Below are 26463 nucleotides of genomic sequence, written 5' to 3' on the forward strand. Positions count from 1 at the left end.
TACTGCTTTTACCTGACAGAGAAAGTTCTCTTCCCTTTTTTCTGAAAGCTCCTTTGAATCAGTTTTGCTTTAGGCATTGAGATGTCACTCACAAGCTTATTTTCCTGGCTCTTCTTATCAGTGGGCATATTCTGACTTCCCTTACTTACTTAGGAGCAAGCAAATAGCCAAGACTCAGATTTGAGTTTTGGGTACGAGGTTAGTACTTCATTCAATAAACTTCAAATCTGTCTGGAGAAGGTATAGTGAGGTTAGCTCTTGCCCCGCTAAATCTCAACATTGTGTGCTTTCTCTGTCTGGCTCTCCACTGTATCCCATTTCCTAGAATGGCTTTTGGTATAGAAGGTATTCAGTAAATACTTACTTATGAATGAATAGACTGCCAAATAGCTTGCAAATTCTCTAACAGTTAAACATTTTATCAAATTAAAAATCTCAATGGTCAAAAACAGTATCAAACTAAAAACTCTAACAAATAACATTTATTTTTCTTTTACATATATATTTCACAGCCTGAACATCACATCTTCAGAGAAAGTTACTTTTATGCCATTGTATTTACTATTTACCACACAGGCATTGAACATTCTCATTAACATGATAAGACAATTTGCTGGTAAACATTTAAACACACAGACATTAGTTTCAGTATCTCAACATATTTTTGGTCATAACCAAGGAAATACATCAAAATAATGACAACATTGGCTAATATTTTACAAGCAAATATTTAACTCTGCATAGTTTATACAATAGGCTGTGGCAATAAATAATGTCACCAATCTCATCAACTATTAACTGGCCACAAGAAGCCTAACATTCATTTTAATTATGATATGAAATGCTCTATTGGTGTAGTTTCAACATATCCTTAAATGTTTGGGTGTTTAACCTTGAATACACGAAAAGAAAAAGTACTAAACTGGACTAAGAAGGTGTGTTTGGTTAACTACAAATATGTCATGTTCACATAGTACATTCCTAACATGAAGGCAAATATTTAAATAGAAAAACTAGCAGTCCAAAAAATGTGAATGTGCAAATTGTGAGTAAAACATTGCATTTAAATTTGCACTCATTTGCAAGTTACAGTACTAGCTCAGTATAAACACTAACAGGAAAAATATTCAGCAGGAAAGAATGGAAACGGCCTCTCACAGCAGAGAACTGGTCACTGCGCACTGCTCCACAGCTAAGAAAGTTTTCCAGGTGGTCTAGCGCTCCTAACAAACACCTTATGATTATCCTTCATTCAACAGAGGAGGAGACTGCAGGCATGCTTCAGTCAGTGGTAAGAACAGGAAGAAAAACCCAAATCAGCAACATTTTCTTCCTTAATTTGGTATAAACGTCCTTTTCATTATTTCAAGTTACTAATTTGCTAATCTCAAATGTTTTCTGAATCAGGTTTGCTAAATGCTGTAAAGAATAGCTATCCTTCATACAATACTAGGTTTTATTTTTTTTAGTATGTCAGCATAATAAGGTACATGCGCATTCATTCCACCAACCTGTTTAGATAATACTCAGCTTGGGTCATATTCAAATTCTACACAGAGATTCTCTGTTTTCAATACAACTGCTTAGAAAGCAGAATTGCCTAGTGATGACTGTAGTGTGCCTTTTAACTGAAATGTATATAAAAATAAAACCCCAATCTTTATAGAATGTCAAGAATTCTGTTAGGGATGTTAAAAGCATTGGGCAAAACCCTGGTTTTCAGCGTGCCATCTGCACCACAGGAGAAGAGCCGATTGCCCTGGATGATGTCAATCTGCATGACTCCAGCCCCAATGTTTCGAAATATGGACTGCTTAGCATGTTCACTTTTAAATGAATGAATTAGGCCATGGCCTGTCAATCTCCAAACCTAGTGCAAAACAAAAGGAGTTAAAAATATATTACGAAAAGACCAAAAGCAAAAACATGGCCCTTCTGCTCCCTTGGCCCAAGTGATCTCACTAAAGCCCAACCTTCCCACCCACTGCCTCTTTCCTAAGAGCTTATCTAAGTGGGAAATGATAACACCACTCCCACGATTCATTTACTGTCCTCCTTCCATATTTTCCTTCACATCCTCTTGTGGCTTCATATTAACCATATGTAGCCCATCTCTAATTCAATTAACTATTTGAGTTAATTCAGTTAAATGTGTTCCTCATGCTGAGCTAGGTCCTAAGGCTATGTAAAAGTAGTGTGGTACAGACAGTCCCCTACTTACGATGGTTTGACAAGACTTTTTGACTTTATGACAGTGTGAAAGCAATACGCATTCAGCACGCTCCTTGGCTTATCCTGAGGTTAGTCTCAATAAACTCATAGTAAGTTGAAAATATTAAGTTGAAAGTATGTTTTTCAACTTTAACAATATTTTTAACTTATAATGGGTTTGTTGGGACATAATCCCACCATAAAGTCAAGGAGCATCTGCACTAGCTCACTTACTGGAAACGTCACCTCCACCACACACAAGAGTACTGAGGGAGAGGGGAGAAGCTTCTAAGGAGCCAAACTAATGTCATCAAAAAATTTCATGCATTAAACTCATACACTTTACTCAAAATAGAATGCTTTAAAGCTTTCTAATGGCCTGAGTCCAATGAGTTTGATAATCTCATTGACCATAACAGTTTAGAAAGAACCATACAGGAGCATGGGGAGGCGGCAGAGTGTTGAGATATGCAGTATCTCCATGCAGTAGCCCAAGTGAAATAAAGTGAAGCTTTATTTCAAAGAATGTGGAGTTTTTGTTTTTTCTCTTTCCAATCAGTCTTTAGCACATTCCAACCTCTTGTACTGACTCACCTTTATGTTACCTTCTGCTGAACCTGTGGTAAAATATTCCTCATAGGGATCCAAGGCCAGAGCCTTAATAGCTGAGTCATGGGCCTGGAACGTGTGAATGAGCTGCCTTTGCCTGATGTCAAAAATGCAGACGTGTCCTTTCCTACCCCCCGAGATTAGGAGTTGCTGTTTGGGTGCATACTGCAGTACCGTGGCACCATGATCGTGGCACGTGAAACCTGAAGAAGAAAAACATCAGAGAATTTCTCAAAACAATTTCTTGTCTTGGTAATTATGATGTCTACATCCACATTTAAATACAGACCTTACTGATGCATTTTTCATTCTAAGGTACATTTATTGTTTTGTAAGTCATTGAATTTCTGTAATCACATGATTAAAGAAAAATGTTAAGCAATGTCAGAACAAACTTTTTATCCATAATCTCAATATGAAATGAACACAGAGAGAAAAAGAAAGTTTAAACCTTAAGCCCTAAGTGATACTGCCTCATAAAAAGTATACAGAAGAGCAGAGACCAACCTTCTCAAAGTTGGTGAGTATTAACCCAGCCAAGTGCTGTACCGTACAAAAAGTTCTTTTCAGGTAAGTAATTGAAACAACGACACTATGAGAAAATGTGTGAATGTTTTCAGTTACAAGTTAAGAAGTTCATTATCCTTCCCAGGAGTATTTGCATTTTAATATGATTAAAGATTCAAATTAACATGCAGAAAATCTGTAAGCAATGTTAACCACTGTTTGCAGAATTCTGCAATAAAATTGAGAATTAACTACATATTTCAAAATGCATATCAGTGTATTAAAAGACTGAGAATCTTTCTGTCTTTCTGACAATCTACTTCATTTAACCAAACTTACTTGAGCATGGAGCACTTTTTGGGTGGTACTATGTGGAAGACAGAGTTAGGACACTAATTTGGCAAGTATTGTCTTAAAAGGAATAATATTTAAATGGCACTGTTTACATTTCTAGTCATTATAATAAGGTTAACCTTTGTTTTATTTTATGGTTAGGGCCAGGTGTGGTGGCTCATGCTTGTAATCCCAGTACTTAGGGAGGTAGAGGTGGGAGGATAGCTTGACCCTAGGAGCTTGAGACCTGCCTGAGCAATACAGCATGACCTTGATCTCCACAAAAAGGAAAAAAAGACAAAAAGTATTTTATGATGAGGTTTAATTCTTTAAAATATGTTATTTTCTATTAAGCTCAATGAATACTTTGCAACTAATTTCTTAAATAGCCTTGTTAGTAGTACCACTATCCATACCATATTTTCTGAATAGAATATAAAGACTATTTTGGATTTCTGAGACCATATATCTTTAACTCAGCAAGGAAGCCAGATATGCTAATTAACTTTCCAAATTTTTAGTCATTCATTCTAAATATTTCTCCATTTTCAACCTGTCAATAAACACTCACTGGATTCACTAATTAAAACCAAGAAAGCATTCCTTCATGGTGTATTATTCCTTCATGGTATATTTTTAAAAATCATAGACCTTAACTCACCATGAATGAGGCTGTTTCCGGGTGATATTAATGTGTCCCAGAGGCAAACATTTCTTTTAAAGAAACACAATAACAAAAATACATCATAAATGATTGTTATAAGTCGTCATCAGGGACAACCTGTCTTTCAGTCAAATATTTTGCTTATTCATTCTTATCTTTTTTGTTCACTCACACCTATAGAGAGTAGTGATTCCCAACTAGGATGGGGGTAGGGTCAAACTACACAGTTCCATCTCACATGGTCCTGCCCGTCTCTGCATCCTCTACCCCATCTCCTTTCCATTGCCACTCCAGGAAACTGATATGACTTCCTGAGTATAAGGAATGCTTTTATATCCCCAGGTGGTAGCCACTGCAGGGAAACAAGATGTTATTCATGGGCATGTGTTGCTAATGAAAACCATGTGAGGTCAAAATAAATGTTGAGAATGATGGGGACAGTGTCAAATACCTGTTAGTCCCTGAATCCTCATCTCTCACCTTATACAAAAATTAACTCAAGATGGGTCAAACTTAAATCTAACACTTGAAACCATAAAAATTCTAGAAGATAACATCAAAAAAAACTACTCTAGACATTGACTTAAAGAATTCATGACCAAGAACCCAAAGGCAAATGCAACAAAAATAAATAAATGGGACCTAATTAAACTAAAACACTTCTGCACAGCAAGAGTAAAAAGGCAACCTGCAGAGTGGGAGAAAATACAATGTATATATCTGACAAGGGACTTATATCTAGAATCTACAAGGAACTTAACAAGAAAAAACAATCCCATCAAAAGCGAGCAAAGGACATGAACAGATAATTCTCAAAATACAAATGGCCAACAAACAGGAAAAAATGCTCAAAACCACTAATTACCAGGAAAATGCAAATTAAAACTCCAATACGATACCACCTTATTCCTGCAAGAATGGCCATAATTAAAAAACCAAAAAACAATAGACGCTGGCATGGAGGTGGTGAAAAGGGGACACCTCACTGCTGGTGGGAATGTAAACTAGTAAAACCACCATGAAAAACAGTATACGGAGATTCCTTAAAGAACTATAAGCAGAACTACCATTCAATCCAGCAATCCCACTACTGGGTATCTACCCAGAGGAAAAGAAGTCATTATATGAAAAAGACACTTGCACATGCCTGTTTAGAGCAGCACAATTCACAATTGCAAAACTATGGAACCAACCTAAATGTCCATCAACCAACAAATGGATAAAGAAAATGTGGTACATATACACCATGGAATACTTCATAAAAAGGAATGAGATAATCACATTTTGCAGCAACCCAGATGGAGTTAGAGGCCATTATTCTAAGTGAAGTAACTCAGGAGTAGAAAATCATATGTCGTATGTTCTCACTTGTAAGTGGGAGCTAAGCTATGAGGATGCAAAGGATCAGAATGATATATAATGGACTCTGGGGGCTTGGGAGGGGTGGGAGGAGGGTGAAGAATAAAAGACTACACACTGGGTACAGTGTACACTGCTCAGGTGATGGGTGCACCAAAATCTCAGCAATCACCACTAAAGAACTTATCCATGTAACCAAACACTACCTATTCCCCCAAACCTACTGCAATAAAATAAAAATGTTGAGAATGATGGAGACAATATCAGATGCCTGTTAGTCCTAGAGAAACTAACAGTGTTAACAGTAGTAGTTTAAAAAAGACTGAATAGCTTTAAAATAAAAATTACATATATTAGGAATAACTTTCATTTTTGCTTTTCTCTTTTTGGTAAGAAAAAACACTCTGAAATAAGAATTATGTAACAAAGTTTTTTTTTTTAATGCCTAGAGTGGAAAAACCCTACTAATAGAAAAGTATTCTTGCTAAAGGTATGGATTTCTAACGTTTTTATATTTCTTACTTTGCTTTTCTGTCAACCTACCTATTGTCATTGGAGTGTCCAGATGTGGCAACTAGACTTGAAGAGGTAATAAATGCAAAGTCACTTGTGGCTTTACTGTGGCACTGCCAACTCTACGAAAAACAAAGTGCAACTGATGTTATTTTACCATTGGATAAAATTTGATACAGTACCAACATACATGTCTGCTAATAACATACTATATGCATGAGCTAAAAATAGTTTTTAAAAACTCGGTCTAGGATAAAAGAATAAGTGATAGTATGAGGCTTAACTGTCATGTGTATATTATTTGGCTACTGTCCAATAATTTTTAATAACTGGAGTTGGTAAAAACAGAATTAAAGGTCATGTTTTTCAGATTATGTAAGAATAGGACATCAAAGTACATGAACCTACCTAAGACCCGTCAATTTTAGTGCTAATGATCTCAAATACATGTAATAAACTTTAACAGTCACAAAGGAAATGCTTACAGACCCAACTAGTCTTAGGATGTCAAGGTATTTTAAAATATAATGCATGTTTTTCTGTCTGGAATTATAGTGGTACAGATCTGACTGAAGACAAAAGTATAAATTCAAGATTACTTCCATTTCTGCATAGACAAGGTACAGTCTATAGTGTCCTAATTTAAGAGAATTATCTTATACACATAATTAAGAACATATGTATAGTTTAGAAAAATTTTAAAAAGTATTTGGGTAATCTATCTGGTCCCAGGAGGTTCAAGGCGTTCTGAACCTCCCTCCATATATGTGAAGCCTGAAGTTTCACACAGGACAGCATCACCTTCCACCCTCCCCCATGTTCCTTTCCCCCACCATATCTCCATCAGGTAAAGATCTACTTATCTTCATCACCAACTATTTTGTAATCCAATTTGGATTAAGGTGGCTCATTGGGATTGGTTATTTTATAATCTGGTAAGCACAATTCTGGAACAAATTGGAACAGATGTTTGGAACCTGATTCTTTTTTTTTCTGAGACGAAGTCTCACTCTGTTGCCCAAGCTAGAGCGCAGTGGCACAATCTCAGCTCACTGCAACCTCCGCCTCCTGGGTTCAAGCGATTCTCCTGCCTCAGCCTCCCGAGTAGCTGGGACTTCATGCACGTGTCACCATGCCTGGCTAATTTTTGTATTTTTAGTAGAGAGGGGGTTTCACCAGGTTGGTCAGGCTGGTCTCGAACTCCTGACCTTGTGATCTGCCCGCCTCGGCCTCCCAAAGTGCTGGGATTACAGGCGTGAGCCACCGTGCCCGGCAGAACCTGATTCTTAATGACAGAATTTTATCATGTGTATATTAAGAAGATAGAGTTTTCAAAATGGATGAAAGTATAATAATAATGAAAAAAAACCCAAGTTGTACCACACACAGGGAAAGCCCCCAAAATTTTTAAAATATAAACTGTACTTCAAGGTGAAAAGCAAGGCTTTTTGTTTTTCAGGTCATTTCAGTCTAAAACTAGGGTAAGGATGGGTGCTGCTGTCAGGCTGGGATTGCTGAAAAAAATCATCCTTTTCCCAATAGGACCACCAATGAGATTCACTGTCTGAAACAGACACTTCATGAACAAAGTGTTGTGTATATGCGCCCTGGGAACATTTAGTGATACTTACCATATAAGGTTTAGGATTTGATGCAGTTTGGTTAACTTGCCAGATACTCAGAAAACCCTCTCCATCCGCAACACCACACTGTAAGAACAGTATAACTACTAAACACATGTTCTTAGCATCCACAGCAAAGGTAAAAACATGGAAGGAAGATTCACTAAGGCCCTACTAAATAAACATTCTGCCTCTAACTATGTTTCTGTTGCTGTCATTCCCAAAAAGTCCAAGTGCTAAAAAATTCCCTGTCACTTTTTTTTTAAATTTTTTTAGAGACAGGGTCTCATTCTGTTACCCAGGCTGGAGTGCAGTAGTGCAATTATAACTTACTATAACCTCAAACTCCTGGGTTCAAGGGATCCTCCAGCCTCAACCTTCTGAGTAGCTAGGACTAGAGGCACATGCCTGGGCTTTTTAAAAAAATTTTTGTAGGGATGTGGTCTCCCTTTGTTGTTCAGGTTGTCTCAAATGCTGGAGTTCAAGCAATCCTCCTGCCTTGGGCTCCTAAAGTGTTGTAATTACAGGTGTGAACCACTGTGACTGGCCCTTCCATTACTTCTTAACTGCTTACCTGTTTCACTGTTTTCCTCTAACCTCTTACTGATGAAATTTAGTAAGAAACTAGGTTTCTCTCAAGAACTTTACTGTGCTTACAGGAATCACCAACACACTCAACACAGGCAGTTTTTTTACTCTCACAGTATATTTAGTATCTTTAAATAGATGATTAATCCATACTAAATTTTGTAGATTTTTGCTTCTATTGGAAGAAAAGAGAGTGTATGAATAGACTCCAACAAACTGTCTACTCAGTTTAAATCCAGGGTCACTGAATTCATTTTTCGATGCACTTTTATCACTTACTCCTAAATATCCACAACTATTTTCAGATGAATTCAGCAGTAGCCCCCAGAAACTAACCTTGTTGCCTTGTGAATTAAAATATAATCTAGTAACTCTTGCATTGCCAGCTTGACGAAAGCAGACAAGTTGCTGAGGCCGCGTCCATTCAAACATTCGTACACTGCCGTCCTGAGCACCTGTAAGATCTGAAACACAAGAGAAAAAGCAGGAAATAAGAAATTAAAGAGTTCCAATATTTTCTATTCTATAAATCAACCTCCAAATGAGGACACTTACAATTATTAGGTCATAAATACTTACAGTATTGATGGACTGGGTGTGAAGTCATTCTCTTAACATTATGTAGATTCCTTTTCATAAGCTTTAAAAGAAAATTTTAAAAATTTTATTTTGTGTATGCAGAAAAGATGAGGAAGGATATGCTTCAGGATAAATTCTGACATTTATTCTCTTACACCTTGCTTATTACTGAGATAAAGCCTGTTATGGATGTTCTGAACCACTACATAGAACACTTGTCTGAAGAGGGTGAGGAAGCACAGTCACTTGCTGGTATAGCCCTGGCCTGTGAGGTTACCAAGGAGCTTCATCTCATAATAAAGGAACTCTTCTTCAAGTGCCCCTCCCTGAGGATATTCAGGAGCACCTCCAGATGCTTCAGAGCAGAACATAAGAATGGGACCCCTCCAGCTACAGTGACAAGAATGTTACTGACATGCTTTCAAGCACTTAGAAGTAGACATGAATTCCCCTTTAACTTTGCTTTACCATTTTGTATCTGTTTATTCATCTGTAAAATGATAATGGAGGGTAATAATAGCACCTACCACCTAGGATTGTTGTGAGAAAAAGCATGTATCTGACACTAAGAAAGTCATATGAGGCCAGTGTGGTGGCTCATGCCTGTAATCCTAGCACCTTGGGAGGCTGAAGCGGGTAGATCACTTGAGCCCAGGAGTTCGAGAACAGCCTGGGCAGCGTGGTGAAACCCCATCCCTACAAAAAATACAAAAATTAGCCAGGCACGCTGGCATGCACCTGTAGTCCCAGCTACTTGGGAGGTTGAGATGGAAGGATCAATTGAGCCCAGGAGGTCAAGGCTGCAGTGAGCCGAAATTGCACCACTGCACTCCAGCCTGCGCGACAGAGCCAGACCCTGTCACCAAATAAAAAAGCCACAATAAATGTCAGCTGTCATTATCATGGCCTATCTACTGGTGTTTGTCCCTGAAATTTAGGATCATTCCTATGTCAAAGAGATTCCAACTGATTTTTCAGAGTCCAAATCCAGAAATGATACCTATAAGTAAATAACATACCACACTAGCTCCAGTGCTAGTCTGTCCAGTGCCCAGCCATGGCAGAGATGAAGGTGGATGCACCTGACTTGCTGAATAGGATGTTGCACTGGGTTGATAAAGAGTTGTAGTGGAACCACGATAATCAACATCATCTGAACTGTGAAAAACATTCATGTGTTACTGTGAACATTCCCTTTTCTCTTAACACAAATTCCAACTAAAAATCTTCTTATGTACCCATAGGACAATCTTTATTTTAAAAACTAAGTAGCCATGAGAAAAACTTAGGTACAAGTCCTAATCGCCAATGTTAATACTGGTTAACTTTTTTCCCTTTTGGCAAAATGTAAATTTAGTCTAATGTTGTTTGGGGACAACTTTATTGCTGCACAAGTTGAAACAAAAGTTTGTTGTTATCTATGGAAAAATATTATGTTCTCTTCAAGTACAGATAGCTCAGTATCAAATTAACACGTTTAAAGAAATTTGAGTTTAAAGATTTCTTGGAGTAAGACATATAAAATGTGAAAGTAATTGTTGGGATGGATTGTATCATAGTACATGGTTATATCTACTCTGAAATGTGATATTAAATCCTAGTTATATCACATACTAACAAAAAAAAGAATTCAACAAAATGAGGAGAGAAACTATCATGGCACCATCCTCAAGCATGAACAATTTCTAAGAGTCTGGAGAAAAGCAGGAGGGAAGGCAAACCACAAAGAAGAAACCTCAAAATAGGTAAGAATGGCAAAACACTCTTGGTGCAGTGTCCATAGCTTCAATGAAAAGTAAAGCCGTCTACATTTTTATGTTTAAGAAAAGGTATGCTTATCAGGTGATAAGAAGAAACACTGCAAAATTACTCGGTAAATGTGACTCAGTGTAATTAACATATTTGTGTCTACTGTTTTAATTATCCAGATCAGATTAATTTACTGAATATCATGAAGCCAAGTGTTAGGGATTATCCTTATTGAAATATTATCAATAGTGTAGGGTTTAATGGAAGTGTAATTCATTCAGTTAATGTAGACAAAGACTTTCACTGGCAGCTAAACCAATTATATTTGTCACCTACCCAAATGAAGGAGATACACGTATACCTTTTGAAATAATTCAAATCATGTGCATAACCATTTGGTGGGTACTTCTTACAGAAAACTATATGTAAAAGTGACTATGAGACAAACCTTTTGGATTCTCTGTCATATTCTTCTCCGATCCATATGTATGACTGACAGGCCAGTAGAGAAGTAACATCAAGTTCTTGAACATCATGTGTTGAAGCCAAAACAATTTCATTACAATTTGCCTATAAAGCAAAGGCAGAATCGATGATTTAAGCAATTTCACTAAGGAGAAATACACTGTGTATAATGATGAGAGCTTTTACCTTATTAACAGAAAATGCCATGATCATATCAGATTCCTTATGGATGACTTTCGCCTTTCCACCTGGATAGCCCAGATCAGCTTCAACCTAGAAAACATTCATCAGCAGTTTTAGTTGCTGCAGCACAGCTCTATTTAGAGTTATGCACATCCCATAAGATTTAAATGTAGGATAAGAAGAAAATGTAGCAGCAGCAGCAGCAGCAGCAGCAAGAAAAAAGGGTAAGAGTAACTTTAATGTGTTGAAAACTAGCTTTGGAAAATTTGCTTAAATTCTCTGATGTCCTGTAATCACCCCAATTTCCACTGTGATGGTAAGATACTGATTAATTATAAAACATGGCTAATATATTTTTATTAGTAATTTATACAGTAGTATGTCTCTCTTAGCTCTTCCAAAAGTGCATAAATATTCTGCAATAAGAATGTGTATACATTAAGAGGCACAGAGTGGAGTAAAAAGCCATAGAAAACCGCAAAGAAACCACCCTTTGAAGTAAGGGTGGTGAGACAGAAATAAGGAAAAGTTGTAAAGAGGGATACTTCGAAAGGAATAAAAGAGACTGATGAGAGGAAGATGCAATGGCTTAGGGTTGGTGATGGGAAGGAAAGAAAAGGCAGAATCAAGAAGATGAAACAGCCATGCTTAAAACAGAAAAAGTGACAAGTGAAGATGGGACAGGGAGCAAGAAAGAGAAGAACCAAGGGCAAGACAGAGCAAGCCAGATACAGTGAAGCATCTCCTCCCCTGTGCCACTGAAGTGGTATGGGAGTACTATGAGTTCTCTGAGTAGTTAGCCAGTTGGGCAGGTCATGGTTAGTATCAGAGATGAGGCGTTAGCTCCTTGAACTTTAAAGAATGAGCTAAATACAAGATCTTGGAATACTACCTTGATGTGGCAATCTTCTGCTATGCAGTTTTGGTTGACCTGCTCCACATGTTCTTCTATAGACTAAATACCACCACACCGTCACAAACACAAAACACATGCATGGAATGAAATTATAAAGACAGTGAAATATTTCAAGCTGAAATGGCCACTCCACCACTTAAAGATGATAAAAATGAATTTGCAAAATCAAGAAAAAATTAAACCGAATAAAACAGTCATCAAATAAACACAACACAAAGCCAAAAGAGCAAAATTAATGTGACTATTACATAAACACAAGAACATAAAAGCTATTTCAAAATAAAAATTAGTTATCTGTATACAGTTTTAAGAAATCTAAGTTACATAACTGGTAATCTATAAAATTAAAGCCCATTTGTATAAGCAGATGCAGAAGATGCTACATAAATTCCTGCCCTATAGGGGTTGATTTAAAATACAAATTAAAATATTTATTTCTAAACATAGATTCAAAATATTGATAATTATTTCACTCTTATAAGGAATATGATGATTTTTCTCTAAGTAAATAAATGTTTAATAAAATCAGGCACGGAAAAAGAAATAACTCAGTAATTTGCTCCCGGGTTGATGCAGGGTCCTAAGGATGGCTGCAATCAGAAGTTATATTTCTGCTCTGCTGTGGAAACTCTGAAGGTTTGATCAGAGAAACAAACTCTTCCTCATACCTTTTCAGGTGACTGCCTTCCTTTCATCACGAAGGGCCATTCAAATTTTCTGCCCATGCCTCCAGGGACTCCCCTATGGCTGCTGCAGCTGATAAAGATGCATCCAAGAAAACTTCCAAGGAATGGTCAATGTGTGGCACAGCTAACTCAGTGAAGGCCAAACTGCTGAAGAATCTATTTGTCTTAACTAGCTGAATTCACCAATCTGTTTCCCAAAAACTTGTTTTGTGAAATATTTTCCTGTAATATCTTCAGTGAATAAAAGATCTTATTCTTATAAATATATAACTTCAGCATTTCTCAGGGATTTTTTTTAAATGCACCCAGCATTTTTAGGATTAGCCTGCCAATTTTATTGGTCAATTTTCTGAATTTGCCAAATTTAGTGATTACCAAAATCCTATTTGACAATTTTAAAGATGTAAGCACTCTTACTGGATTGGGTAGAGTTTTAGTAAGTTTTGCATATTTCTGAGCCTAACGACGAGTTTTTATTTTGTCCTAACAGCCTTAATGTTTTATTCATAATTTTTTTCTTAATAAAACACCTTTTTTTTCAGATCTGAGCTATTCAAAACAGCAATCACTAACCATATGTAACTATTTAAATTTAGATCAATTAAAATTAAAATTCAGTTTCTCAATCATGCTAGCCACATTTCAAGTACTCAGTAACCACATGTGGCTGGTGACTACTATGTTGGACTATGCAGATACAGATTTCCATCATCACAGAAAGTTCTATGGGACAGTACTGGACAAGACAGTAATTCCATTCAATGTTTTAAAATTAAAAGGGTACATGATAAAAATTCTTCCATCCTAACTCCCAGCCATGTACTTCCCTTCCTTGGAGCCAACTGATGCTTATATAGCACTTTAAGAAACATTCCGTTTATCTCTGTCCTACTTCCCTGTTCATGGGGACCCACTGCTGGAAGAAAAATAGAACACACAGAGACTGAGGGGCATAATGGAAGGGAGACTAAGGGGCGGAGAGGGGGAGAATTAGTTAAGGAAGAAGCAAACTCGTGGGGAAGGGCAAGACGAGAATGGGAGGGTCCAAGAAACCCAGACACCTGGCTTCCCACAGCACTCTACACTCTGACAAGTCAACCAGTCAAGCTGCTATCAACCTTACCAATACTTAAAACATACTTGTGATAAATCATTAATTTTAATAATTTGAAGAACAAAACACTCAGAAAATTGATCACTCAATGAACTGGTTTTCTGTGAATAACAGAGCCCCTAATTGACCAGAAATCTTATTGATTAAGACAGGGTCTCACTTTGTTACCCAGGATGGAGTGCAGTGGTGTGTGATCTCAGCTCACTACAACCTCCACCTCCTGGGCTCAAGCAATCCTCCTGCCTCAGCCCTGCAAGTAGCTGGGATTACAAGCATACACCATCACACCTGGATAATTGTTTTGTATCTTTTGTAGAGACGGGGTTTCACCATGTTGCCAAGCTGGTCTCAAACCCCTGAGCTCAGGAGATCCCCCACCTAGTGCTAGGATTACAGGTGTGAGCCACTATGCCTGGCTAAAATCTTTTATTTTAAATCACTATCTTAGATTCCTATATTTTAGTTTATGGAATTTGGACTCAGCATCACTATAGGAAATGCTATACACAGTGGTTTAAATGACAGAGGCAAATAATTTGCCTCTGATTTCCCTAACAAAGTCACATCAATAATTTCAATGCCATAAGGGTCTTTTGTTATGAAAAAGCTTATAACTAGGACTCAAAAGGTCTCTACAGTTCATTCTTCTACTTCCTCATTTAAGTATATAATTTTTAAATCCATAGAGAAAACAAATGACTGTTCATAAGGGCTGACCACAATTACCATTCAGGTAAGTGGGTGAGTGGGAAAAAGAACAAGTATGGTAGGTTCCACTGCCCTGGGCATGAGGAAAAACTGAGAAGCAATTTTATACTTTATCTCGGGAAATTGAGCCGTATGGACTCTCTCTGTTTTCACTTTTCTAAGCGAAATATAATTCATTTCTTCTCTTCTCATTGATTGTGTTTGCCAAATCTTTATTTTTTTTGAGACAGAGTTTCGCTCTTGTTGCCCAGGCTGGAGTGCAATGGCACAATCTTGGCTTACTGCAACCTCTGCCTCTCGGGTTCAAGCAATTCTCTTACCTCAACCTCCCGAGCAGCTGGGATTACAGACATGCGCCACCACGCCCGGCTAATCTTTTGTATTTTTAGTAGAGATGGGGTTTCTCCATGTTGGTCAGGCTGGTCATGAACTCCTGACTTCAGGTGATCTGCCCGCCTCGGCCTCCCAAAGTGCTGGGATTACAGGTGTGAGCCACCGTGCCCGGCCATGTTTGCCAAATCTTTAATTACATCAGACGCTCAACTCTGAATACTCTTCAAACTGCTCATTCCCTCACTAATTACCTCACTAAATAGCCAAACAGACTGAAATGCTCATATAAAAGGTCCCACTTTTATAAGGAAGAGGTCACTTGCCAATCTCCCAAACTGCTAATTCTTCTTGAACCATGTCTGCTATTACATTACTAATTGTATTAGCTTAAAAATAACCATGCAATGCAGAACCTCTGTCTTGCTTTGTAAGAGCAATCTTCCTTCATCTTGTATTTGCTATTTCTGTAGTTTATTCTCTCACAAAAGTATCCTGAATTTGTTGCTTCAAATCATCATTCTGTTCATTTCTAAGTGCTAAGTAAAGAAAATGCTTTTAAAGGGCTATTTTATATTTTAAGTACATATTTGGAGAATATTATAGAGTAAGCTTATATATTAAATTCCTCAAGCCATCCATCACAATGTTTATTATGTGTAAAAACCTAATGACAAATACTGTAAAGTACCAACTTTCACTTGAATATATGTAATTTATCAAAGTACCTATGTTGTTTCATTGCTATGAAATGAAAATTATAAGGTTTTATCTTAAAAGTAGTTCACGGTAGTTTAGTGAACTTTGACTATTACCCAACCAGAAAGAAAATTTCAGAATAAATCAAGCACTGATTTCCTTAGAAATGTTAAAGAAAACTAAAGAAAAATTACAATAGAAAATATTTTTCTCAAAATACCTCACTCTGCTTTCTTTTCTTAGTGAAAATATATCTAATAAATGTCTCTTGAAGGACCTCTTGTTTAACAAGGAAATGCCAAAGTCGTTTGACTGGAAATGCAGAAGAATCCCGGGACCTATTAAAAAAAATTAACATATCACACTACTTTAGTCTATAGAAAATATGTTTATATTTGCAGATATTTATTTTTAAAACCTTCACAATCTATTGCAAAGATATTTATTTTTAAAACCTTCATAATCTATTGCAAAGAAGACACAGCATTAAGCTCAACAAAACTGTACAGTTTACTTTTAATTTTTAGTTCTCCTAAAAATCATTTCATCTAGCAACTAATTCTCTAATTACACTGAATGAACCAGTTAAGCTGAGAGTCAAATGAATCTCTTATTATTCTCTTTTTAAATTATACTTTATATTGGTTCTCTTGGTTAAAGCATATCAACAATGAATACAAGTCATAGATACCGATTCTAACAGCCTAACAAGCTAAAAAGCTTTGTTCTTTCAAGCTTATTTTAATAGTAAAAACTATTAATCAGGGTCCACTACCTCAAAAAAAAAAGCATGCTGCTTATCAAAAGGGACCTAGATTGGCAGGTAAAAGATCAAAACATCAGTTAAAAACCTGTAATGTGTTTACTGTTAAATTACTGACAAAAGTCAGAAGCACCTTATTTGCATATATAGATTGTTAGAAAAAAATTCTGTAAGAGTTCTGACAATAAGAACATAAATATGCCATACGCAGTGGCACATGCCTGTAATCCCAGCACTTTGGGAGGCCAAGACCAGGGACTGCTTGAGCCTAGGAGTTTGAGACCAGTGTGGGCAACATGGTGAAACCCTGTCTCTACAAAAAATACAAAAAAAATTAGCCGATGGCGCTCGCCTGTTGTTCCAGCTACTCAGGAGGCAGAGGTGAAAAAGATGGGTTGAGCCCAGGAGGTTGAGGCTGCAGTGAGCTGAGATTGCACCACTGCTCTCCATCCTGGGTGACAGAGTGAGACCTTGTCTCTTGTCTCAAACAAACAAACAAACAAAAAACACCACACCGGAAATTAATACAATAAAGACTTTTTCCTTTATGTAAATGGAATGTCTATGAATTACAGATAATACTGGGAAAAATTCTATTCAAATTTCTGATATTTTTCTTAAGCGTATTCTGCTAAAAATAGGACTGCAGGTTCAAAATTATGAATGTTTTAAAGTATATTGGCATATTTAGCCAAACTGTCTTCCAGAAAAGTTAAGCTACGCTCTTTATCAGCATTATAAGAGCTTTCTTACTTGAATGGGGTATTTTCAGGTTCTAGCATTGCTTTATTTCGAAGAATAGCTGGTCCAGCTCCCACTGAAAGGTCAGTTGGATATGTGTTGATATAGTTAGGGGGTGGACCTTCAAACTGATCCATTTTCTCTTGCAAGATCTGTTCCCAGTTCTCCAAGTTTTTAATCACAGCAATACCTAATGGTGATGTTACAGGCAGCTCTACAAGGTGACAGAATATGTTATTTATTTTAATAAAAAATATCGATCATCACCCAAATATTTATAGAATCTGAATTCTCAGAGATAATACTTCTGAAAATACAAATAAATCTGCAAATGTTAATGTAATACAGTTTAGATTCTTAATGCTTTCAACAAAACAGAAGTGGGTTTCTGCTCTTTCTCAATCTTCTGTGTAGAGAGTGATTCTTGATATAAACTAAAGTATTAGACTGAAGCCAGGTGTGGTGGCTCACACTTGTAATCTCAGCACTTTAGGAGGCCAAGGCAGGTGGATCGTTTGAGCCCAGGAGTTCAAGACCAGCCTGGGTAACATGATGTAACTTTGTCTCTTACAAAAAATACAAAAATTAGCCCAGCATGGTAGCACATCTATAGTCCCAGCTACTCAGGAGACTGAGGTGGGAGGATGGCTTGAGCCTACGAGGCGGAGTTTGCAGTGAGCTCTGATCACACCACTGCACTACAGTCTGGGCAACAGAGCGAGACTCTATCTAAAAAAATAAAAATAAAGTCACAGATTGGAGCCTAAAATAAACAAGACTTTATAAAATATCTAATGCACTATTTTTTAAGTACCAAATGACCTTATATATAGATTTTGTAAAGAGAAACTTGACGGCAATTTATTATACTTAATAACATTAATTTTTAAATTCCAAACTCACCAGAGAATTCCAGTCCAGCAATAGGAAAGAAATTCTTGACATTGTGAAGTGCTAGTTTAACCATTGTCAAATGTAGAAGAGCCCAGCTGTTCAAGGAGGGGCAAAAAGAGTCTTTAAGTGAAAAATAAAATCATGGGAGAAACAGAGTGGTGTTCCCTGCCAACTGTTTAGCCCACTCTCCAACCCAGAAAAAAAGCTGTCATTGAAATTTACTATGCAAAAATGGCACCTCTGTGGTCACTGAATACAAAAAACTTGCAATACTATATTACACTTGCTGAAAATTACCTCGTGGAAAAAGATTAACCACATAGTCACATGAAACCTAATAGTATACCAATAATTTATATATTAAACTCTAATAGTATATCCATGAGTTACATATTTTTTCCTCACTAAAGATGCTTGTGTTTGCACTCTCCATAAAAGCTAGTCTTTGGAGGTGGAGAAAACACTATGTAGACATTGACCTCAAAGGTGTAGAATTTGTAACCTGGAAACATAAGTCATTTCTTATATAAATTCAGGATAATAATGTTATTTAAAATTAATAACATTGATATTTTCTACAAAAAGAAAAGCCAAAAAAAAAATGAGAGAAAGAAAAGTCTTATTTACCTATAGGAATTTGGATCTTGGTGCTCCTGTATTTGTGTATCTGAAAAAAAGGCATCATCTTCTTCATCACTATGAATGCTTTCATCAGAATCATATATAACACCACTATCAGACAAAGGAAGAAATGGCTGCAATAAAAGGTAAAATTATTTTTTTAAAGATTATAATTTCATAAACATATAAAATATATTTTATATAACATGTATTATATATTTAATATAGAAAATATTTTTAGTATATAATTATTTTTGTTCTAACATAAAAGTAAACATTTTAAATGGTGTCAGCATAAGTAAAAATTTTCTTTTGCAGATAATGCTACATCTACAAAAGTCAAGATGACAAGGTAAAACTCTCATATTCAATAACTGAATAGCTAGATGTGAAATTTTTTTTAATCAATAGTTTTCTTCTTATAGATCAGCAATAAATAGTTAGAAAAGTCTAAAGAAATACAAAAGGACAAACTATGAAAGCTGTGAGAGAGCTATTGTGAAGGAAATTATAAATCTTTATAAAATTATATGAAGGGAAGGACTGAAATGTGTAAAAACTGTAATTCTTTATAAGTTAATTTACACAGGCTTTAAGTAATTTCAATAAAAATCTCCCTGTGAATTTCTCTTCCTGTTTTGGAACTTTAAAATGATTCTGAAGTTCGTAGAGAAGAAAAAATAGATGAGATTAGCTGGGGAATTTTTTTTAAATAAAAAAAATCCCATTTTTTTTAGTGGATATTAAACTAAGTAAGAAAAATGTAGTCTAGATTGATGCAAAAATATAATACAAAAATCATACACGTATAAGAAGTTAATCTGACAAAGGTAACATCTTAAGTCAGTGGGAGAAAAAGAAAGATTATTTAATAAATAATAATGGAACAACTAGTTAGCTAAGTGTGGGAATGGGAGATGAAGTCTGATCCAGTCTGTTCCTCACTTTATTCTAGATAAATAAGAGAATTAAAAGTTAAGGAGGAGGAGAAAGAAAAAGAACAGGAGGAAACAGAGAAGGAAGGTAAAATAAATGTACACATTTATTAGTGGAAAAGACTTCTGCTGAAAAACAATGTAATCAATAAGGAAATGTATGGATAGATCTAATTTTTAAACTTTTTAAAATTTCTGTGCATGATAAACTTTTTAAAACTTCAAATGCATAATAAACAAAATTTTAAAGCAAATAAACTAGAAAAAGCTTAACAAGATAAATTAATAATATCTCTAGATAAAGTATCCAGAAAAAGGAAAAATACCATAATCTCAACAGATAATTTAGGTAAGAATATGAACAGTCAATACCTCAAACTGGAAAATCAAATGGCAATAAGATCATTAAAATTTTAATGTCACTAACAGAAAATAAAAATCATTTAATCTATCAAATTAACAAAAATGAAAAAGGAATACTTAATGCTAATAAGGGGGTAAAGTTAGATGCATCCTCTCACTATTCTCAAGAGAGTACAAATTAGTAATGTGGAAAATAATCTGGCAATATGTATTAAAAGCCTTATTTAAGTTTATAGCCTTGGACCTAGTACTTCTTTTTTTTTTTTTTTGAGACGGAGTCTCACTCTGTTGCCCAGGCTAGAGCGCAGTGGCACGATCTTGGCTCACTGCAAGCTCCGCCTCCCGGGTTCACGCCATTCTCCTGCCTCAGCCTCCCGAGTAGCTGGGACTACAGGCACCTGCCACCACGCCCGGCTAATTTTTTGTATTTTTAGTAGAGACGGGGTTTCACCGTGTTAGCCAGGATGGTCCCAATCTCCTGACCTCATGATCTGCCCACCTTGGCCTCCCAAAGTGCTGGGATTACAGGCGTGAGCCACCATGCCGGGCCTGACCTAGTACTTCTTAAGGAAATAATCTGCTCATGAACAAGACATATTTTAAAAGATACTATTCTTGGCATTTTAAACATCAAATCACTAACAAAGTGAAAAGTTACATGGTCACTATAATTGATGCTTATCTAGAAACAATGATCAACCAAGTAAGAGCGAGCACCCCAGCATCTGTCTGTAGTTTCTAAATATAATTTCTCACAAAAAGGAACCAGGTTATTTCAAAAAAGTGATTGTTCTCAGTCACGGGCAGGAAATATACATGATTAGCCTAGAATAAAACTAGAAAGCAGGCAAACTCAAACACTAGTGGAATAATCTCAAAAAGATTCGGAGCCAATTGTGGAAGAGGCTCTCACTGGCAAAGATGGATAATCTGAGTCCCCATGAGAAAAAAATAACTGCAATAGATTAAAACATATAAAATATGTTTAAATCTATAAGTTCATAACAAAGCTGAAAGCAAAACAAAACTCACTGGCCTCCTCTGAAGGATGCTTGGGAACCAACTCATCATTTTGAAAACTGGTACACAAAAGCAAAAGAATAAAGCATTTATCCTGTCTTTCCGACTCAAAATGTACTTCAGGGTAATTGAATAGGTTGATGAAGAGACATTCCAGCAAATACATGAAAAATGAATGACAGGATTATATTATCATAATTTAAAACTTTCACTGAAATAATAAATGTAGGCAAAGATCAACTAAAATCATAAAAAGCTTCCTGACAGAAATATACAAAACCACCTATGAAGTTAATCCTGTACTCCCTCTTCCTATCCAATCAGAATGAAATTGGATTTAATTTTCACTTGACAAGATTCAGAGGAACAAAATATGGTGATGCCATCAGCAAAATCCATTGAAAAATTCTAAAGGTCAAAATTCTTTCAGGGCAAACGAAAAAGGTGGGAGTTAAGTTAAAAAAAGAGAGAGAGAGAGAGAGAGAGGTGGAGCCTATAGATTAAAAGAGACTGAAGATATAGCAACCACTTGCAAGGTATGAATCATATTTTAGATCCTGATTTGAACAAATCAACTATATAAAAACATTTAAGATGCAACTGGTGAAATGTGAATACTGTCTGAATATGTGATAATATTAAAGAATTGTGGGTGTGCTTCTGTGGGTGTAACACTAATGTAGATCTATTTAAAATCCTTTTTTTTTTTCAAAAATAAATAATGAAATATTTTTGAATGAAATTTCATGATGTTTGGATTTGCTTCCAAACAAAGTAGTGGGGAGAGGTATAAATGAAACAAGACTGTCCATGAGTAGATAATTTTTGAAGCTACATGATGGTAGATAAAAGATTCATATGCTATTATCTCTCCTTTTGTGTATGTTGGAAGTTTTCTACACTGAAGTTTTTAAAATGACAGCTATATAAGTTTTTAATGGCATAAAAACTGTTTACCTTGTTAATGTTAACAGAAAAAAAACTACATATACTGATCCAATTATACATTTTTTTAATCTGAGGAAAAAAGATTAATAGTAAATTGGCCACAATGGTAACAGTTATCTTTGTTGCACAGATGAGTGCTATTTCCCTTCTTTATAATATTTTGCATTTTCCAAATTTTCAGAACATATATCAGGAGGAAACATTTTTGAAAAACAAAAATTTAGCACATTACCATTTACAAATCTTAATGTTGTTATCACTCACATTAATGATGCAATGAGCTTTCATTCGTGGCAAATAAAAATTTTAAAAAGGTAGGAGTGGGAACTGCCTATACATTTTTAAGAGTACTTTATTATTTCCCTGGTTTATTAGCTAAATACAACTAAGTGCAACTCAATTGGCAGCCTTAAGGGATAGGCCAGAATGACTCTGGAAGTATAACTCGGACCCTGATAGAGTGTAAACCTGGAAATCTGCACTCACAATGTGCCTAAGCTCATAGTTCTCAAACTTCAGCACACATTAGAACCATCTGGAGAGCTTGTTAAGACATAGATTGTTGGTTCTCACTCCCAGAGTTTCTGATTGAGGGGTCTGAGGGAAGACCCAAGAATCTGCATTTCAAACAAGTTCCCAAGGAATGCCGATGCTGCCGGTTCTGAGACCACACTTTGAGAACCACTGACGTAACCAAAGTCTTTTTTTTTGAGACACTGTCTCAGTCCGACACCCAGGCTGGTGTGCAGTGGCACAATCATGGCTCACTGCCACGCTGACCTCCTGGACTCAAGCAATCCTCTCACCTCAGCCTTTCAAGCAGCTAGAACTACAGGCAAACAGCACTGCACCTACGTTTTAAAATTTTTTTGGCAGAGACATGGTCTATGTTGTCCAGGCTGGTCTCAAACTCCTGGATGTAAGCAATCCTTCCACCTCAACCTCCCAAAGTGCTGAGGTTACAGGTATGAGCCACTGCACCTGGCCTCAGAGTCTTTAGATAACAAAACAAAGCTTCCAAACTCATGTTGAAAGACTTTTTAAGGATCAGCTTAGCATACAAAAAAACGGAGCGGGATCAGCGCCTCAATAACTCTGAGATCTAATAAAAATCTAAAAATGGGAAGAGGCATGACTCTGGAGATGTATTCCCTCATGTGTATGCACAGCAAGGTAACAACAGAGTTAACACATGTAAAGAGGGAAACATACCAACAGAAGGAGAATCATGAGCTCAAAAGAGCAAAGTGCAGAAAAGCAAACATTAGCATGCACCCAGCATGGTATGAAATGGGGCTATACCAGATCTAGTCACCATGAGTATTCTGATCCCCTGAGAAGTTTCCTTTGCGCTGGGAAAACAGAGATGTATCATGGGGCCTCATCATGGCCTGATAAAACCGCCAAATGTCCATCCATCTCCTTCTATTCTAATTCCATGCTTACCAAGGGAGCCACTGATAATTAGAAGAGGGGTGTCTAGGTGGTAGATACAAGTATTCCAGTCACTCGAAAAAGATGGTGCTGATTATGTAATAAGCTGACTTCTAATTTATACATAACTCCCATGTGATTTTAATTTGTCTCCTACATCATCAGGTAACTGATCATCCTCGAATTTACTATGACTATTCAGTTTCTGGACTTAATAAATTAAACGTCTAAACTATGGTGATTCAATCCAAAAGCTACCCCATCATTCCTATGTGAGACACATGCAAGAGTTAATAAAATAGATGATAGACTTCTCTTAAAGCTTGCATTCCTCACACTCCTTACCTTTGCAACAAAATAATCCCACATACTAAGTTCGGGAGGAATAAATTTTTCTTTGTAAGATGGTCTTTCTGCAGGCACCGGTGGTGGGGTAGCATCTTTTACAGGCCTTCCAGGGACGAGCATTCTCATGTTAAATCTCCTACGGTGTTTATCTATGTCTTCAGAAAGGACAGGAGGTGCTAAATGAAGATAGAAGGAAAAAAAAATCTAGCATTCATTTTCCATTGTTAATTGATAGAGTTAAGCTTTCTTTTTATCCTACTCTTGCCATGTTTTGGTCTAAACTAAATTACTTATTCCTGTGCTTCTAAACTTTTCTAGTTACTGAATCAGCTTTCCAGCAGTCATGGCAGAGATACAGATGGAGATAAAGCATTAAAGCCTATCTTGCCATGTGCTCCCTAAAATAAGGATTAAAGTAATTCTATATAAAATACACTAAATAAGTGGTATATTCAATAAATATTAAAGTGAGTGATTGACTGATTATCCCTGGCTATGAGGTTCAAGAAAGATTCACTGAATATGTAGAATTTAATAGTGTGCCTTAAAAGAAGGGCAGAAGTTCAATGGGAAAATGGAAAAGGACAATATAAACAAATAATCAAAGAAGGTTTGGGTAAATGAGGAGTAAATTACTTTTGGTAGACAGGAGTCATGGAGGGAAGTAATATCAACAACAGTCTAGAGTTAGGTTAGGACAAGTCTGTGGCTATGAACCTGGGAACTTATGTTTTGGGCAATTCTCACTAACACCTCTTAAGTTTTAGTCACACAATGAGGTATGGCTTGTCTGATCAATTAGAGAGGAAGATGGAAGATGACATAAGAACAGCCTGCACTAATATGGTGGGTGGTAAAAAGTAGAGGAAGGGTTGTATATGAGTGATACACAAAAGAAATAGCAAAAGGATTCAGGAATTGGGTATGGGAGGGCCAGAAAGTAGAAGTCAACCTGCTCCTCTCCTAAACCTCCCCATCACAGAAAATAATTTTATCTCAACTCTTCTATCTTCCCTACCCCAGACACAATTCATCAACAAATCCATTGGCTCTAACCTCAAACTATACCCAGAATATGATCACTTTTCACTCTGACCATAACTAACACCCTAGGATGAACCACTATTATTTCTTTTTAATTGAGGCAAATTTTACATAAAATAAAATTAACAATTTTAAAGTGTACAATTCAGTGATATTTAGTACATTTAACATGTCATGCAACCACCACCTCTATCTAGTTTCAAAGCATTCTCCTCACCCCAAAAGGAAACACTATACCAAATAAGCAGTCACTCCTTATTTCTCCCTCCCCCTAGCCCATGGCAACCACAGTCTACTTTCTGTCTCTATGGATTTACCTATTCAGGATATTTCATATAAATGGAGCCAGACAATATGAGACTTTTTGTGTCTGGCTTCTTTGGCTTAGCCTATTTTTGAAGTTCATACAGATTATAGTATGCATTAGTACTTCATTCCTTTTATAGCTGAGTAACACTCCATTGCACGAATATACCACACTTTGTTGATCCTTTCATCCTTGATGGTAACCCACAATTATCTTTTAAGTGAACTAGCCTCCCTACCACCAGCCTCCCTACTCTTATTTATGTTACCCAGTCTATTCTCCACAAAGCAGCTAGAGCGGTTCTGTTGAAAAGCTGAATCAGATTCTGTCACCTCCTCTCTTTAGAACAACTAACGCTTTTACCATGATCCTAAAGGAACTTGCCCCAGCTACTCTTCTATTCTCATCTCCTACAACACTCCCTCTTCATGACAGCCATGATGGTCCCTGGGTAGTTCTTGGAAAAGGCCAAACTCAATTCTACCTCAGGACCTTTGCATTCATCTGCCTGGAATGCTCTGGTCTCAGATATCCACATGGTGTGATTCCCAACTTCCTTACAGCTCTCCTCAAATGCTATCTCATCAGAAATATGTCTTCCAACCACCTTAACTAAACTGGTCCATTCCCATTCCCTCATCACCGTCTTTCCACTTACTCCATTTTTATCACAGTTCTTATCATTACCTGAAATATCTTTGTTAATTGCCTGATAGGTGTTAAGTGAATAAATTAATGCAAATATTAATATGTACTGGCAGGTTTTAAGCATGGATGATTTGATGGATAAATTACCATGAACAAAAAATCAGAAAACTCAGGCAGAGAAATAAACAATTTTGGAGAAAAACTTTTAAGTTTAAAGTGGACTATAACCAAGCAGCAAGAAAGAGATTCAGATATCCACATTTGATGGGAATGGAAGCAGTGGGAGTTGATAAGATCATCTCCCTTACAATGACTTACACAGGAACCTATTTATTTAACTCAATCACAGACAATGAAGACAGAGGTTAGTGTCATTAAACTTGTGTGCCACTGATTTCTCATCTGTAATATGTCCATTTCTAAGGATGAATTAAGATGATTTCTATATATCAGCATCAAGATAGAAATCTTTCCTGCGGCATCAGTCTATACCTCACCATATCATACCATTTTCAAAAGTGGGATGAAAAATATATTCTGGCCATGAGGGAAGAAGAAACAC

The 26463-nt window shown here is 36.4% G+C and overlaps 1 protein-coding gene across 21 annotated transcripts in view, besides 1 other annotated feature; it reads right to left on the reverse strand.

Moving 5' to 3' along the window:
• The window catches only part of DMXL2 (Dmx like 2), a 174981-nt gene continuing 148985 nt past the window's right edge, over positions 468-26463 (reverse strand). For 4 of the 21 annotated variants that reach the window (NM_001378458.1, NM_001378457.1, XM_047432317.1 and 1 more), the window contains exons 29-44: positions 23900-24078; positions 18861-18988; positions 18243-18328; positions 17352-17553; positions 16056-16173; positions 12275-12337; positions 11386-11472; positions 11183-11304; positions 10005-10143; positions 8986-9046; positions 8743-8870; positions 7828-7905; positions 6227-6318; positions 4322-4374; positions 2806-3023; positions 468-1870 (exon numbers count right to left, since the gene is read on the reverse strand). In NM_001378458.1, the coding sequence (NP_001365387.1) occupies positions 1661-1870; positions 2806-3023; positions 4322-4374; positions 6227-6318; positions 7828-7905; positions 8743-8870; positions 8986-9046; positions 10005-10143; positions 11183-11304; positions 11386-11472; positions 12275-12337; positions 16056-16173; positions 17352-17553; positions 18243-18328; positions 18861-18988; positions 23900-24078 (1964 nt within the window). In that variant the 3' untranslated portion in view covers positions 468-1660. Of the gene's footprint in view, positions 1871-2805; positions 3024-4321; positions 4375-6226; positions 6319-7827; positions 7906-8742; positions 8871-8985; positions 9047-10004; positions 10144-11182; positions 11305-11385; positions 11473-12274; positions 12338-15756; positions 16174-17351; positions 17554-18242; positions 18329-18860; positions 18989-23899; positions 24079-26463 lie in introns of those variants that run through there. The other 17 variants (NM_001378460.1, NM_001174117.3, NM_015263.5 and 14 more) reach the window with 11 other exon arrangements.
• Positions 2120-3319: an enhancer, noted in NCBI's record as "MED14-independent group 3 enhancer chr15:51741640-51742839 (GRCh37/hg19 assembly coordinates)". NCBI's record gives its function as "activates an origin of replication core promoter dependent on BRD2, BRD4, P300/CBP and CDK7 cofactors, and independent of MED14, by STARR-seq in HCT116 cells {active_cell/tissue: HCT116}" and the evidence as "EXISTENCE:reporter gene assay evidence [ECO:0000049][PMID:35650434]".

The sequence above is a fragment of the Homo sapiens genome, chromosome 15 (genome assembly GCF_000001405.40).
Source record: "Homo sapiens chromosome 15, GRCh38.p14 Primary Assembly".
Lineage (NCBI taxonomy): Eukaryota > Metazoa > Chordata > Mammalia > Primates > Hominidae > Homo > Homo sapiens.